This window comes from Homo sapiens, chromosome 2 (assembly GCF_000001405.40).
Source record: "Homo sapiens chromosome 2, GRCh38.p14 Primary Assembly".
Taxonomy (NCBI): Eukaryota; Metazoa; Chordata; class Mammalia; order Primates; family Hominidae; genus Homo; species Homo sapiens.
In genome coordinates, this window is record NC_000002.12 from 138,704,443 (window position 1) to 138,720,360 (window position 15,918).

Sequence of the window (15,918 nt, forward strand, 5' to 3'; positions counted from 1 at the left end):
ATTTAATCATTTGATTGTGCATGTTATAAAAGCATCAGATTGGCACCTAAACAACAGCTGGTTATTTATACAGATAGTTTGAGAAACACAGTCCTAGAAAGCTTATGCCATCTCAGACCAATTAAATCAGAAGGAGGGGAACTGGGAGCCTGCACATCTTCAAGGTATTTAGCTCCTTTAGAAGATTCTACTGTAGTGATATTTTAAGGGTTTATTTTTTGTTGCTTTTAGAGACAGGGTCTTGCTCTCTCAGCAAGTCTGCAGTGCAGTGGCACAATCATGTCTTAATTGTGCAGCCTGAACTCCTCGGCTCAAGTGATCCTCTCACCTTAGCCTCTTAGGTAGCTGGGACTACATGTGTGCACCACCACGCCCAGCTAATTTTTTTTTTTTTTTTTTGAGATGGAGTTTCATTCTTGTCACTCAGGCTGGAGTGCAATGGCACAATCTTGGCTCACTGCAACCTCTGCCTCCTGGGTTCAAGCGATTCTCCTGCCTCAACTTCCCAAGTGGCTGAGATTACAGGTGTCCGCCACTATGCCTGGCTAATTTTTGAATGTTTTTAGTAGAGACAGGGTTTCACCATGTTGGCCAGGCTGGTCTCAAACTCCTGACCTCAGGTGATCTGCCTGCCTCGGCCTCCCAAAGTGTTGGGATAACAGGCGTGAGCCACCACACTTGGTCTTTTAAAAAAATTTTTTTGTAGAGATGGAGTCTCGATACGTTGCTCAGGCTGGTCTCCAACTCCTGGCCTCAAGCAATCTTCCCATCATGGCCTCTCAAAGTGTTGAGATTACAGGCATCAGCCACCATGCCTGGCCAATAATATTATTAAAAATAAACATTAAGATCCTTTTTTTCCTTCTTGATTTGATATATGGAATTCTCATATTAAATATACGTATATTTTAAGTCATGTCTGAGGCATTTTGAGACAATAAATAATCATTCTTTTAAAAAAGAAAGCTTTTTATAGTAAAGATGAAACAATAACATGTAGTACTATGCTTATTTTGGCAGTCTAAAGACCCAGAGTGTCTTCTGTCTAATCCCTCTTAGTAGATTTTACTCAGTAACTGATTTTGGTGCTGCCATTACAATTTGAGGGAAGTTCCCATTATCTAAATGAATTCCCTGAATTTATTCTACACTATCACTGCCAAGTTGGTCATCCTGCCTGTCTTTGAACGTGGTGTGACAGGGAGCTAACTATCTCCCAAGGGAACCTATTTCATCTTTAAATTCTCTGTTAAAATTCTTGTTTCTACTAAGCTGAAATCTGTCTGCCTAGAACTTTATTCAGTGGTCCTTGTTCTCTCTCTCTTTCTAGAGTCTTACAGAACAAGCTCAGTGATTCTTCATAAAATAAACATTCATATAGCTGAGGATGTTTGTATTACTGAGTAAGCCCCTCTTCGGACCAAATGCCTCCACTTTTTAATCAAAAACCATTCTTCAATTCTCATAACCATCCTGGTGACTTCACTCTGATTGTGATCCTGTTCCTTCATATTCCCCATAAAAATGTAATATGATCAATGAATTCCAGAAACATTTATTAAATCCTTACAATGTGAGAAGGATGCAAAGTTGAAAACCAGGATTTCTGCTCTGTATGTGTTTACAGTTTTATGTATCAGAGTGTTTTAAGGGAAAACAATCTATGCCTGTGGTCTGACCATTACAGAACATACTATGTCTATTAATAAAAAGATAACAAATATTTACTAAGAATTTTCTCTGTGCCTGTTATCTCATTTAGACCTCACAACAACCCTGAGAGGCAGGTATTATTCTACTATCCTTATTTTACAGCTGAGGGAACTGATGCTTAAGGAATTAAGTTGGCAGTGTAAGCAAGAAAGTAGCAGAGCTGCTGTAGTCTATATTAAATGACATGCTCTAGAAAAGTTAAGAAGTTGTTTAAGGATGTTAACCAATTGGCCAGATTAACCAATGTTCTCCATTGGATCTTGCTGATGCCCAAGTATCCCGAATGCACACAGCTGGTGGGCTGTTCTCTAGGATCTATCCAATTATTTTGAATTTTATGTGAGACAGCTGTTTGTCCCCATCCTGTTTATGCCAGTTATAGTTGTCATTTTAATTACGTAACTTAATAAAGTATTTATTAGATAGGCTGATGAATATGAATGAGAAAAAAGTTGTTCTTTATATGAAAATTAAGGCCAGGTGTCGTGGTTCACGCCTGTAATCCCAGCACTTTTGGAGGCCAAAGCGGGAAGATTGCTTGAAGTCAGGAGTTTGAGAACAGCCTGGGCAACATAGAAAGACTTCATTTTTTTTTTAAGTAGGCAGGTGTGGTAGTGTGTACCTGAAGTCCCACCTACTCAGGAGGCTGAGGCTGGAAGATGACTTGAGCCCAGGTGGATGAGGCTATAGTGAGCTATGATTGCACCATTGCATTCCAGCCTGGGTAACACCGTGAGACCCTGTCTTTAAAATAAACTAAAATAAAGAAAAAAAAGTTAAGGTGAATGCTTAGAGAAACTTGTTGCAGATGGGTCTCTTAAAAAATTGCTGTTCAATAAATGAGAGCAAGAAAACTATTAAGAGATAAAAGGAAAAATGTAAAAATTCTAGAAAGATTTAGATTGATTGGAAGATGACTTTAAGTACTTGCCCCATGACAAAAAAAAAAAAAAAAAAGAGCAAGAAGAAGAAGCAACAGCTAGGAATCTTCTTAGATGATTCAATATGGGTGAGTTTTATTTAAATGACAAACTTCAGTCAGGGGATTCATATTCTGAAGGATGATATTCACATATTGTTATAACCAATCAGAACACATATCAAACAAATGAGAACAAAGGCCAGCCACAAAATCCAGATATGGCCATACCAATGTGTACTTGATATGCCCTCAAAGGAAAAGGTTTGATCCTACATCAAATAATTTGTGAAAGAATGAACCTTCAGCATTTAAGTTTAAAAGTTTCATGTATGTTGGATATTTTTATGAATCACTTGTGGCCTGATCTGGGGGGGAGAAAAGCTTCTACTACACTGTGAGTTGGAGCTGGGATCTAAAACTGGGTTGTCTGACCCCAAAGAGCATTTGCTTGACATCTGTGTGTACTGCCTCCAAATGCTTTATGCTATCACTTTCCTCTCACTAAATACCACAGTCTATTAATACAGTCTAGGGTTGCATAAGCATTCTGGGAAGCTTATGCACATTTGGAAAGCTTTTGCCATATTGATGACTCACAACTTTAGTTTATTTTCAACTAAAACTTTTCCATACTTGCTAACCATATATCCTTTATCCTCTGGTGGTGGTGTTCTTTTTGTATCCAAGTGCCAGGTCTTAAAATTATCCCTTGTAACTTTCTTCTCTGTGGATTTGGCCCATCATTCTAGCCTGAGATCCTTTTGAATCCTGTCAGCCAATAGGTCCCTCTCTCTCTAAGCCTCATGTCATTAGCTAATTTAATAAGTAAGACTTGTGTCTGCCCTTTTAAAATCTGACCTTGTCAGAAGACTCCCTGGACAGTCAAGCTGATTACTACAGATACTCCCTCCATTTCTCTCTTACTGAAATAATTTGTGATGGCAGTCACAAATCTGACTGTCCCAAGATGCCAGGGCTGTCTCCTCTTATAGAGCCTCATGTGTGGCACTGTGCTTGTCTTGTCCATAACTGCACTTACCCTACTACACAGGGCATTTAATAAATGTGTTTAAATCACAGAATTTCATTGTTTTTCTGGCATGGGACAACAGGAAAGCCGATCTGGAAAAACAACAATAACAACAAGACAGCTGCTACTTTCCTCAGCCGTCACACACGCTGCCCACTTCACAACTATCTCCCCGGCCATGAACTTGAACTTGAGAGAAGAATGAGTATCAATGAATTAAGATGTTTTAGAAAGTATCTGAACATACAATTGAGCTGGCACTATTTTGTACATCAGGATTTTAATATTGCAAAGGACTGTATTGATTGCCTAAATCTAAAAATAATTTCATTAATGGAAGAAGATGTAATGTGATTTAATATGCAAATTAATGCTGCATTCACTGAAAACTATTAAACCAGCTCATTTAGCAATTTGAGTGAACATTGCTAATACATTTCCAGAGTTTTCTTTTTCCTCTACAATCATACTGAAAACTCCTGAAAGACAACAAATGTCTTTTAGTTCTGAATACTCTATATAGCAGTCTAGAAATAGGCCAAGCTAATGTGAGGTATAGTGCTTATTATTCTTTGAATGTTGTTCTAAATTAAGGAGACAAGTTGCAGAAAAGTTAACTACTGTGAACTGGAAAACCTCCAATTAAGTAGTTGGATTCCAACCTCTCCTTGACTCACAGGCTGGAGGACATTTATCAAAGCATAGGGACATCGGGACTGAAAACAAGGGCTGATTTAGACAACAAAAGCTCTGATTCACTCTCTCCATGTTGACAAAATATACTCTATACCCACAAACTTAAGCTGTGTCCATGCACACACAAACCAGTCTGAAACAAAAACAAGTGAGCATTTAAATTTAGACCAATTATGACAGCAAAAGCTGTGTTCTTTGGCATTCTACCAAACAAAAAGCTTCAGAAACCAGCACTTCAAATACTCCCCTGGTCCACACATGTATTCTAGCAGCAGGGACTGGCAATGGAGCTAATTCCAATCAACGAGGAAGCTATTTAGGTCCCACAAGGCTGACTCTGAGAGTCGCTGGGGGATGCTGGGGTGCTGGCTCCACTCGAGACGGTACAACAGCCCCTTCTATCCTCTCAGGGAAACAGGGGCAGCTGCCCAGGGGAGGCTCACACTGCACTTTCTCTCCCATCCTAAATCCTACAGCAGCCTTCACAGTTTCTCTTTTTATAATTTTATTTTATTTTGGTGAAATAGAGATAACAAAATTTGTCATCTTAACCATTATTAACAGACTTTATTTTTTAGAGCAGTTTTGAGTTCACAGCAAAATTAGCAGCCAAGTACAGAGATTTCCCATATACCCCTGCCCCCCTCCCTACCCACAGCTGCCCCATTACCACCTTTCCCCCCACCAGTGTGGTGCATTTGTTACAATCAATCCTACATTGACACATAACTACCACCTCAAGTCCATGTTTATGTTAGGGTTCACTCTTGCTGAATCCTATGGGTTTTGACAAATGTATAATGACATGTACCCACCATTATAGGAGCATACTAAATAGTTTCACTGCCCTAAAAATCCTCTGTGCTTTGCCTATTCATCCCGTCCTCTCCCCAACCCCTAATTCTTTTACTGTCTCCCTAGTTTTACCTTGCCCAGAATATCATCTAATTGGAATCAGTAAGTACTATTTTCAGATCAGTGTCTTAGTATTTCACTTAGTATTGTACATTTAAAGTTTCTCCATGTCTTTTCATGGTTTAATCATTTCTTTCACCTGTGGAATAACATTCCATTGCCTGGATTTACCACAATTTATTTATCCATTCACCTACTGAAGGATATTTTGGTTGCTTCCTAATTTTAACCTCTTTTATGTGTACAATTCAGTGGCATTACTTGTATTCACAATATTGTGCAACCATCACAACTGTCTATTTCTCAAACTATTCCATCACTTCAAAAAGGAACTCTGTTAAACATCAAGCAATAACTCCCATTCCTCCCAGCCCCTGGTGACTTACTTCCTGTCTCTATGAATTTACTTATTATTTAATATTTCATGTTAGTGGAGTCATACAATATTTGTCCTTTTGTGTCTCACTTGTATCACTTAGCATAATGTTTTCAGGTTTGTCCATGCCGTAAATATATCAGAACTCCATTCCTTTTTACGGCTAAATAACATTTAATTGTATGTATGTACCACGTTTTGTTTATTCATCACCTCTTGATGAATACTTGGGTTGTTCCCACCTTTGGCAATTGTGAATAATGCTGTAATGAAGATTGGTATAAAAGTATTTGCTTGAGTCCCTGTTTTCAATTATTTTGGGTATATATCCAGGAGAGGAATTGCTGAGTTATATGGTAATTCTATGTTTAGCTCTTAGAGAAACCGCCAAACTTTTTTTCAGCAACTCCACTATTTTACATTCCCACCAACAACACACAAGGGTTCCAGTTTGCAGCTTCTCTTAAACCCAAGCAGAGTAGTTAGTTCAAATGAAGGTTATCTTGAAGTTACCTGGCCTATTGATTAGCTGGCATCCTTCCTCCACCCTAGACTCTATGAGATAAATTTTACTATAAGCTATTATAATTTACCACTCTCAGGCCTACAGTTCTCCATTAGTTTCCCTCACTAAGACTTCTGTTTCTATGCTCTGGACCTCATTACTCTCCTAACATAACCTTGATTCACTCGCCGTCTGTTTTCCACCCTGCTGAAGCAGCCCAACACACCTCTGACTCCATAACTCATCTAAACCACCCATGCCAAACACTTTACCCAAGCTGGCTTCCCCGACTTCCTCAGTCTCTCCCCGACCTTCCTTGGGCCACTCAGCATCTGTGCTAATGTCCTCCCTGCTCCTTGGTTCACAGTCATCTTGCTGCCATCTTCCTGGAGCCGGATCCCACTTAAAATGAGGGGAGATGCTCCTTTTGACTCTCATATTGCAAAATGTTATCGCTGCACCATTCTATTTAAAAATCTCACCCAGAGGAGGAAAGCTCACTAATTAATGGACACTTTAATGGAATTTCCTTCCCATTTCTATCACTTTTTTTTTTTTTGAGATTGAGTCTCGCTCTGTCACCTGGGCTGGAGTGCAATGGCGCCATCTTGGCTCACTGCAACCTCCATCTCCCAGGTTCAAGCGATTCTCCTGCCTCAGCCTCCGGAGTAGCTGGGATTACAGGCACCCACCACCACGCCCGGCTAATTTTTGTATTTTTAGTAGAGACAGGGTTTCACCATGTTAGTCAGGCTGGTCTTGATCTCCTGACCTCAAGCAATCCACCCACCTCAGCCTCCCAAAGTGCTGGGATTACAGGCGTGAGCCACCGCGCCCGGCCCCTGTCACTCTTATACCTTCCTTTCATTCATCCATTTGCCTCCATCCTACTTGATGCCTTGGCTATCTCATGACAACAGCTTGCAAACCTGTGTCTGCCTCTAAATTGTACTTGAATTGAATCCGTCTTTGGTTGCAGTATCATATACAGTGCAGATTCTTTTACTCAAACCTATCAATTGTTCTTTAGTTCCTACTCAGTGATTCAAAAGGATGATTCTAGCAGTTCAGGCCTCCCACAAAAGCCCAGTCCACCTTTTCCATGATATCTCCTAACAGACATGTCCCCTCCAGCTCCTGACTGCCCATGTTGGGCACATCCCTTTGTGTCTGCCTCATGACATGGCCTTTGTGGTTCTCATTTACACCGTTCTTTGCTTAATGAACTTCTACGTTTTGTTTAAGGATAGTGTTTCCATGATCACTCTAGCTAGAAGTAAAATGAACATCCTCTGCTGGTCTGGCACAGTTTGTACCATTTGGCTTATGTTTAGTTTCATCTAAAGAGCAACCAGTTAGCTTGGGGTGTCACTAGAAGAGGGCAGATGGCTGGCTGCCAAGTGGTTTCATAGCACCTTGGGACATTCACCAAGGCCAGTATCTGATCTTCAGTTTAGTAGGCTGAGGCACTTAACTTTGAGCAGCACATCCTGGGCAGAACTGCCTCTCAGGAATAAATACACATCACATCAGCTCATGGAACTGATGTGTGTGTGTGCACGTGCATCGCAGAATGCCACTAAATTAATTAATTTACAGCAACAGCTAGAACCTTCATGGATGGAAGTCTGTGCATTACATGAGTAAAACAGTCTCTCCCCAGTGGATAGGCCTGAACCAGAAGCCAATTTAGAATCAGAATTTTTAGTGAGTGTGGAATCAAACCAAACTGCTGGCTTGATGAGTCAAAACAGGAATTTCTCTGTCACAGAGGCTGAACTGCTCATAACCTTAGGCCAAAGATCATTTCCTGTTTCTGGACTTCGGAGTTCTGTCCTCTCTGGGTTGACCACATGTTGACTCAGTTTTACTCAGAATGGCCAACAATACAATCATCACAACATTGCCCCCCACCCTGGGATACTAAGGAGCCTTCAAGTGCAGTTCTGCTTCCCCCAAATTCGGTGGCAGCACAGTATCTTTGGTTTATCCCCTGACCAAATTCAACCACTAAATATGTCTAAGTATACCTGCTTGATTTAACTCCCAGAAGGCAATGCTTCCTTCCCCTCACCCCCTTCCTATGTTCTTGAGAGTTACTTTACTGTTCCACAAAGCATTGGCTATTGTGCCTCTGACCACAAAGTCCACTGCACTATAAACACTTGGGTTCAGCTCTTATCTTCATGTGTGAATGGAAAACTCCATGAAGACTAGACCAAGGCCTTATACGATGGTCTATGTCACACACGGCCTAGCACACAGCAGGTGTTCAGCCAATATTATTGAGAAAAGGAGCAAACAGGGGCTGTATTAGTAAATACTTGTGATAAATTCCTTCCAATTCTTTCTTCTCTCAGCTATATCTAACACTGGTGATGGTCTTCACATGATTTTTAAGTGTTGGTTATTCAAGAAAATCTTCTGAATGAAGAAATAAACTAAATTAATTATCCAAAGCTTCCAGGTCTTCAGTAATTGACTATAGAGAAACAGTCCTTGCTAAGTCCCAAGGGGCCTCCTTCTGGGAGAAGCCTGAATTGAAAGGCCATTCAGGATCTACTTCCCCACTGCCGATGGTTCTTCTGAGATGGATCTGCGACTGGGCTCCTGCCAGCTGCCCTTTGGATTTGGGTCTGACCTCCCTTGATTCAAGCACTGAACCTCAGCAGTCACAGGACAGCATGCTGAATTTTCTAGGAGGATTTGTTGTTGACCCAAACGGTCTGAAGAGGGACCTTTGTACGTTGGGAGTGACAGATTATTTGTCCCCCAGCCATCTTTAGAAGCTTCCAAAGGAAGGGAGACAAGATAAAAGCCCAGTGTACTTCACTCAGAGCTTTGCTGCGTGGTGTTAGGTTATCCAGTGTGCTCAGGATTCATCTCCTGATTTCAGTGAGAGAAATAAAATGAATATAGGAAAGGAAAACATGATATATGTAAAACCCTTTCTAAAGCTGGCTTTAACAGCACTTAAAGTCAACTGTAGAAAACGTTCTGTGTGTGTGTGTGTGTGTGTGTGTTTTAATTGCAAATTGGTGTGCAAAATCTCTGTTTGCTCAGGATCTCCAGAGACTGCCTCATGATGTGTGTTCTGTGATGAGGCCATGGGACCAGGCAGTAGAACTGCGACAGGACAGCAGGGACAGAGGGGAGCTTCTCCAGCCTTTTGTTTCGCACCAAATCACAACGTACTCATCAGGGGAATCCAATGTGTTCCTTATCAAACCTTTCTATTTTCAGCGTAAATTACTGAACAATCCTCCAGATACTGATTTTTATCTGCTTGCTAGATAAATATTAGTTCCTATTGGCACATTCCTATTCAGTGCACCACTCACAAGTTATGTAAACAAAGAAACAAACAAAAAAGCAAAAAAAAAAAAATTTCACTACAACTAATAAAACAAAACAGAAAAAATCAGCAAGAAGAGCTTCTTTCTTTTTTCTTATTGTCATAAAAGTGTAGCAGCTTAAATATATGTCCTAATACAATAAATAGCCCATTTGTATGGTTATTATTGGTTATTTCAGTTCTCAAAATTCATACTAGAATAAATTAAATTTATTTTCTAACTCTGCTTCTCTCTTGCTGTAGGTATGTGCGTACATAGGGGCAGAGGGCATGCTAAGCAAAAGAGCAAATAAAATCTCAGCATAAGATCCCTACAAGTAGTTATATTTTTGTATTTTTGGCTCCCTATTTAAAAAATAGTTATTTGTATTTTCATTAATTCCACAAATATTTATTAAGCTCCTGTCCTATATCCCACTTAATAATGGATATATCTTTTTAAGCTAAATTTCATATCCTGAATATCTCTGAATTACTAGAAATGGGGTAACTTTTCTCATTAATTAGAAGACTTCCAATTTCCACACCTTAGGAAGAACCTTAAAGTCTTTTTGAAGGTTATATTCAATGAGTGACTGCTGGACTCCTCTATCTAACACAGAGACAGGAAGCAGGCAGACTGTGTTCGCTTCCCTACAAATTGGAAATAACACACACTTCTATTACTGGTCTGATAAAAAAAAATCCAAGAAAAAAGGTACTGAAGATCCAAGTCCACCTTCTGGGATAATGGTGTTAATTTCATTGAATTACTTTGCTCCACTATATCCTTATACCAAATTATCTAATTTGTTTCAACGGATTCATGCAAAAGAACACAAGAGCAAAAAGTCCAGTGCCTGAAAGAAATTAGACTATGTACCTAAACAACTTGAATTCATGTCAAATAATATAACATATAATGGCATAATATGTGTATATGTATTTTCCAGAACTGATGAATGACATTAATGTACAGATGATAATTCAGCAAGAATGACTAAAAGAATTTCATGAGTAGACACATTACCGTAAATTTCCTGAACATCAATGGGAAAGTGGAAAAGTAAAACTTAGAAGTGAAATTTGAAGCAAAATATGGGTTAATCATGAGTGATGGATGCATTGGTGTTCTATCAACTCTAGGTACTCTCATCCGAGCATGCTAAAAAGAATTCTATTTCATTGTAGATTCACTACAGTCACTTTGTTTTTTTACTTGAATCCCTGGATATTTACTATAATTGACTATAAGCTAATAGCTCTCTTGGCACAATATTTATTATCTATTAAGTGAGTTTAGAGTTTGATTTTTCACTATCAACTCAATATTTAAAAAGCAGAGATTATTTTATACTGGATACATACAACTATTTAGTCCAGTTATTTAGAGTAGAGTTTCTCAACCTTGGCTGCGACTTATAATTATTTGCAGGGAATTTTTTGAGCCCTTCCTCTAGATTTAATTTGTCATAATGTGTGTCCATACATCAGATTTTTAAATAAATGTATTGAATATAACAAACATCACAATAGCAGGGTGAATTATAACAAAGTGAACATAACCCTGCTTATCAGGGTAAATAAACCAGGGTTTGTTTACCAAGTGCTTTCTCCTCTGAATTGGAGGGGAGAACACCTCTGTGTCACTGGTGGGGCATGTGGACAGGTGGGTTTCCCAGGAGGGCACACTGACTAGAAGCAGACAGGAGGCTGGGAATCCTTACAATAGCCGAAGAAGGAGATCCTTATTCTGGCGGTAGAGGGCTTTCCTGTTTCTACTTCTGGACAAAGCTGTTTCCTTTATATTTTCCCTCTAGAGGTCTAGAGTCACCTAAATCTCCATTTCTTTTCCTTCCCAGGTCCAGGATGTTTACTAGAATCCCTTCCCAGTCTCATCAGCCACCTCTTCAACAGAGAACAGGTCTTGAATTTTATACCAAGGGCAGGAACTCTCCATGCCAGCTATATAGTAGCCTCTCTGTCCTGGGGTGGGGTGAGGGCTAGGGAAATAGCTGGACCAACTATTCTAAAGTTAATTCTTACATATATTGGCAATTGCCTGATGATCTACTTTTTTCTTTGTCCTTGTTGACTTTGTACTTGGAGTTTCTTTGGAAGCTTCTTTGGGAGTTGAGAAAAACTGCTATTATCTCTGGTGTTTCTGGTTTTAGTTTTTCTTACTCTGATTTCTCTCTCCAAAATTTCCTTACACTTCATAGCATACCGAACTCCATTTTTTTAAATAGCAACATTATGTTGCATTATCTTCATATGGATATATCTTTTTATTATTTCTTGAAACCATGATGTTATGGTCTGCATGTTTATATCCCCATAAAATGGATGGTAGTAGGAGACCGGGCCTCGGGGAGGAAACTAGGTTTAGATGGGAGCATGAAGGTGGAGTCCCAAGGGTGAAACTAGTGCTCTTATAAAAAGAGAAAGACTAGAGCTCCCTCTCTCTGCAATGTGAGGCCTCATTGAGAACACGGCCATCTGCAAAGCAGGAAGAATACTCTCACCATACATTGAATCTGCTGGCACCTTGATCTCGAACTTTCCAATCTCCAGAACTGTGAGCAATAAACATCTGTTGTTTCCAGAACTGTGAGCAATAAACATCTGTTGTTTAAGCCCGTCAGTTTGTGGTATTGTTGTTACAGCAGCCTGAGACGACTAAGACAACAGGTATTCGGTCCTTTTCTAGATACCTATCCCTGTTATCCTGAGTAGCCCCTTATGATCGGTTCCACCCAATTGACTGATGTAGCTATTGTTTCTGCTCATAAAGCACAGTGAAAAGCGGCATGACACAGTGGAAAAAATACTGGGTTTAAGGTTTTGAGGTGATGGTTCTAGTTCCCACCCTGGAATAAACTTGTTAAGAAAGTATGATCAAATCACCTCATCTTTCTGGGGCTGCTTCCTCATGTTTAAAATTGAAGGGCAATTGGTTGGTATTTACCAAAATTAATAACACACTTAACTTTTGAGCCTGCAATTCCTCTCTCAAGAATTTATCTTGCAGGTATAACTGCACATGTTTGAAATGACAGATGGATAAGATTATTCACTACAGAATTAAAAGAAAGAATTCTTTGGTGTGATATTTGGAACTCACAGTTTTCAAATCAACAGAGAAATAGTGAAATAACAATGATCCATCACACAATGGAGTGCTATGAAGCTGTAAAAAAGAAGGAAGGAGCTTTTTATATACTGATAAGGAAAAATATGCAGGATATGTTATTAAACGACCAAAGACAAGGTGAAGAAGAATGTACATAATCATACACCTACCCTATGACCCTGTAGCAACATTCCTATGGCTTTATCCCACATGAGAATCACCTGGAGAACGTTTAACAGTATTGATGATATGGCATCTCAAGGCAACTGTCTTAGTCCGTTTTGGCTATAACAAAATACCATAAACCAGGTAACTTATAAGCAACAGAAACATCTCACAGTTCTGGAAGCTGGAAAATCCATGATCAAAGTGCCAGCCGATTTGGTATCTAGTAAGTGCCTGTTTTCTGGTTCACAAATGGTGCCTTCTTGCTCTATCCTCACATGGTGGAAAGGGAAAAGCACCTCTCTTGGAAAAAGGTCACTAAACCCTTTTGTGATGGATCTAATCAACTCCCAAAGCCTCTTCCTCTTAATGCCATCACCTTGGGAGTTAGAATTTCAATGTATGAATTTTGGGGAGACAGAAACATCCAGACCAGAGCAGCAACCTGTATGCTTCAGAAATATGAACAAAAGATCAAAAGAAATTTGAGGAATCAAATGGATCCCAAATCACCCTAAAAATTCTAAATGTTATCAATAGAAATGTGAGGAATCAAATGGATCAAAAACAACTCTAAAAATTCTAAATATTATCCTTAGAAAGATTAGGAAGGCAATTGTACTGCAAAACAAGTCAAGAAAGAAATTTTTGGAAATTAAAATAAGATTGCTGAAATCAAAGTCATTAGACCTCTCAAACATTATAATAGAGTTGAAAATCAAGTTATTGATCTAGAAGCTCAAGCAAAGAAATTTCCAACAACCAAAACCAAAAATGCCATAAGAAATAAAAGAGAAAGTAAAACCATAAAAAATGGGTTCAGGAAGTTAAGTAGCTGACTAAAAAAAGTTCTAAGAGATGAGAACAGATAGGAAAGAGGATGGAGGAGAGAATAATAATAATAAATAATGAAATGAAAATATCCTAGGTTTAAGAAAAATTAGATCACTCATATTGAAGTCCTCACCAAGGCTAAGTGAGTTTGATGGGGAAAAGACACATACTTAAATTTTACATACTGTTGAAATTAGTGAAAAGACAATTTAAAAAATTTCTAAGAGAGAGAAAAAAATGGGGCCACTTATAAAGGAAGGAGAATTAACAACAGATTTCCCTTCAGCAACAGTGGACACTAAAACTCAAAGAAGCAAAGATTGTCAAACAAACAAACAAACAAACAAAACCCTCTCTGGGATAATGACTATGAATTTAGAATTCCATGTTGAAACTACAATTTTTATGTAATATTTTCAATCATACAAGTTTCAGAAAGCTTGTTGCCCTCACAAGCTCTCCAAAAACATTACTCAAAAAGGCTGTCCAGCAGAACAACTGAGAAAGAAATATATTATGAGTCAGAAAGGTAGCAGCTGAATATGACTTGAAAAGGGAGAAAACTAAAAGGAAATGAAAAGAGAAGCCACTGGACCTTGATGCCTGGGGCATTATCCTATGAGTGGCTAAAGGTAAGTGTCTTAATGATATATTTAATTCTCTATAAATCCAATAGCATAACTTGGTTCTGTAGTAAATATTTATAAAAGCATAATCCCATTAATGCCTTTTTAAAGTTGGTTCAAAAGCTTTGAATTAACCTATAGACTACACATGGAATACATAATCATAGCCCCAGAACAGCAGATAAAGGGAAGTACAGGAGACGGGAGACACAGTCTCACTAGAGTGTAGAATTTCTAAATCTGGAAGTCAATAGCTACTTGCTAAAGTTGGGGGGTGGGGGAGGAAGAGGAAAATGTAATGTAAATTGTAATGATAACCCTAGAAAAATTACAACACAAAAACACTTGTTTATGTTTATTCCTGGGGAGAGAATTAGAGATACAGTAAGAAAGACAGCTTTTCATTTTTGATTAACAAGCTCCTTTATTAATAAAAGATTACTTAAATAACTCAAAGTAGAGCTATATAATGGAATACTGAGTGGTCTTTGGAAAGAATGAGATATGTCTATATATATTTTTGTGGAAGATTATCCACAATTATATATACTTAAGGTAAAAAAAAGAATTTGCAAAATAGAGTATCATCCCTATAAAGGTAAGAAAATTCTTTATATGTCTGTGTGCATGTATATAAGTAAATGCACTTAAAAATATCCGAAAGGAGAAGCTACAGGTTGAGGGTACAGGCGAAGAAAGGAGTCTTTCGGAATTTACTTTTCAAGCTTCTGAATTGTTTTACTGTTTGTAATAAGTAAATATAATACATAATATGTAAATATTACTTTTAAATAACTTTCATACTTTTTAATTACAAAGGTAATTTTCTTAAAAAGTAAGAAAAGCAAGTATATGAATGTATAGTGTTACTTTCTTCATTTAAAACTTTAAATGGGCAGGGAGCTATGGCTCATGCCTGTAATCCCAGAACTTTGGGAGGCTGAGGTGGGAAGATCGCTTGAGCCCAGGAGTTCGAGACTAGTCTGGAGACTGGGTAACATGGCAAGACCTCATCCCCTCAAAAACCACAAAACTTTGAATGTTTAAATATATTATTAAAATTAGTCTTTATTTTTTCATAGCCAAATAATGCCAGTATTATTTATTAAACTATTTCCCATGGAATGGAAACACTCTCATTTTCATATTGTAACATCCCACATGTACTTATATACGTTTCTTGGTTTGATTCTATCCCACTGCTCTATTTACTTTTTCTTGTGCAAATAGCTTTTTATAAAAAAATTATTACATTAACTTTAAAGCAAATTTCAATATATGGTACTACATGTACCACCTCATTATTCTTTTTCCCTCATACATTCTTGGGAATTCTTGCATTTATTTTTCCATATGAACTTTCAAATCATTCAATCCAGTATAAAAAACAAATCTATTGAAATGTTCTGGGATTAGATGAAACATGCAGTTTTAAGGTTAAAAAAAAAAAAACTTGAAAAAAAAACAGAGGCTATATGGTTAGATCAGCAGAGGTCAATCGCCACCACTGGAAGGACAATGCAAAGTAGGTCTCGTACTGATGGTATGAAGAACAAAAGCAATGACTGGGAGAGTCTTGTCTTCTTACATACAATCCTCAGTAACAGAAAACAAGTATGCTTGTAAACTTTCTCACAGGCCATGACGAAACATGAGTATTTACAGACAG

General features: G+C 38.3%; 1 protein-coding gene across 1 annotated transcript in view, besides 1 other annotated feature; it reads right to left on the minus strand.

The window, feature by feature from the left end:
• NXPH2 (neurexophilin 2) overlaps nt 1-15,918 on the minus strand; it is a 111,234-nt gene that overhangs the window by 35,286 nt on the left and 60,030 nt on the right. The window lies entirely within an intron of this gene.
• Nucleotides 8,148-8,237: an enhancer, noted in NCBI's record as "active region_16596". NCBI's record gives its function as "activates an Ori minimal core promoter by ATAC-STARR-seq in GM12878 lymphoblastoid cells {active_cell/tissue: GM12878}" and the evidence as "EXISTENCE:reporter gene assay evidence [ECO:0000049][PMID:35858748]".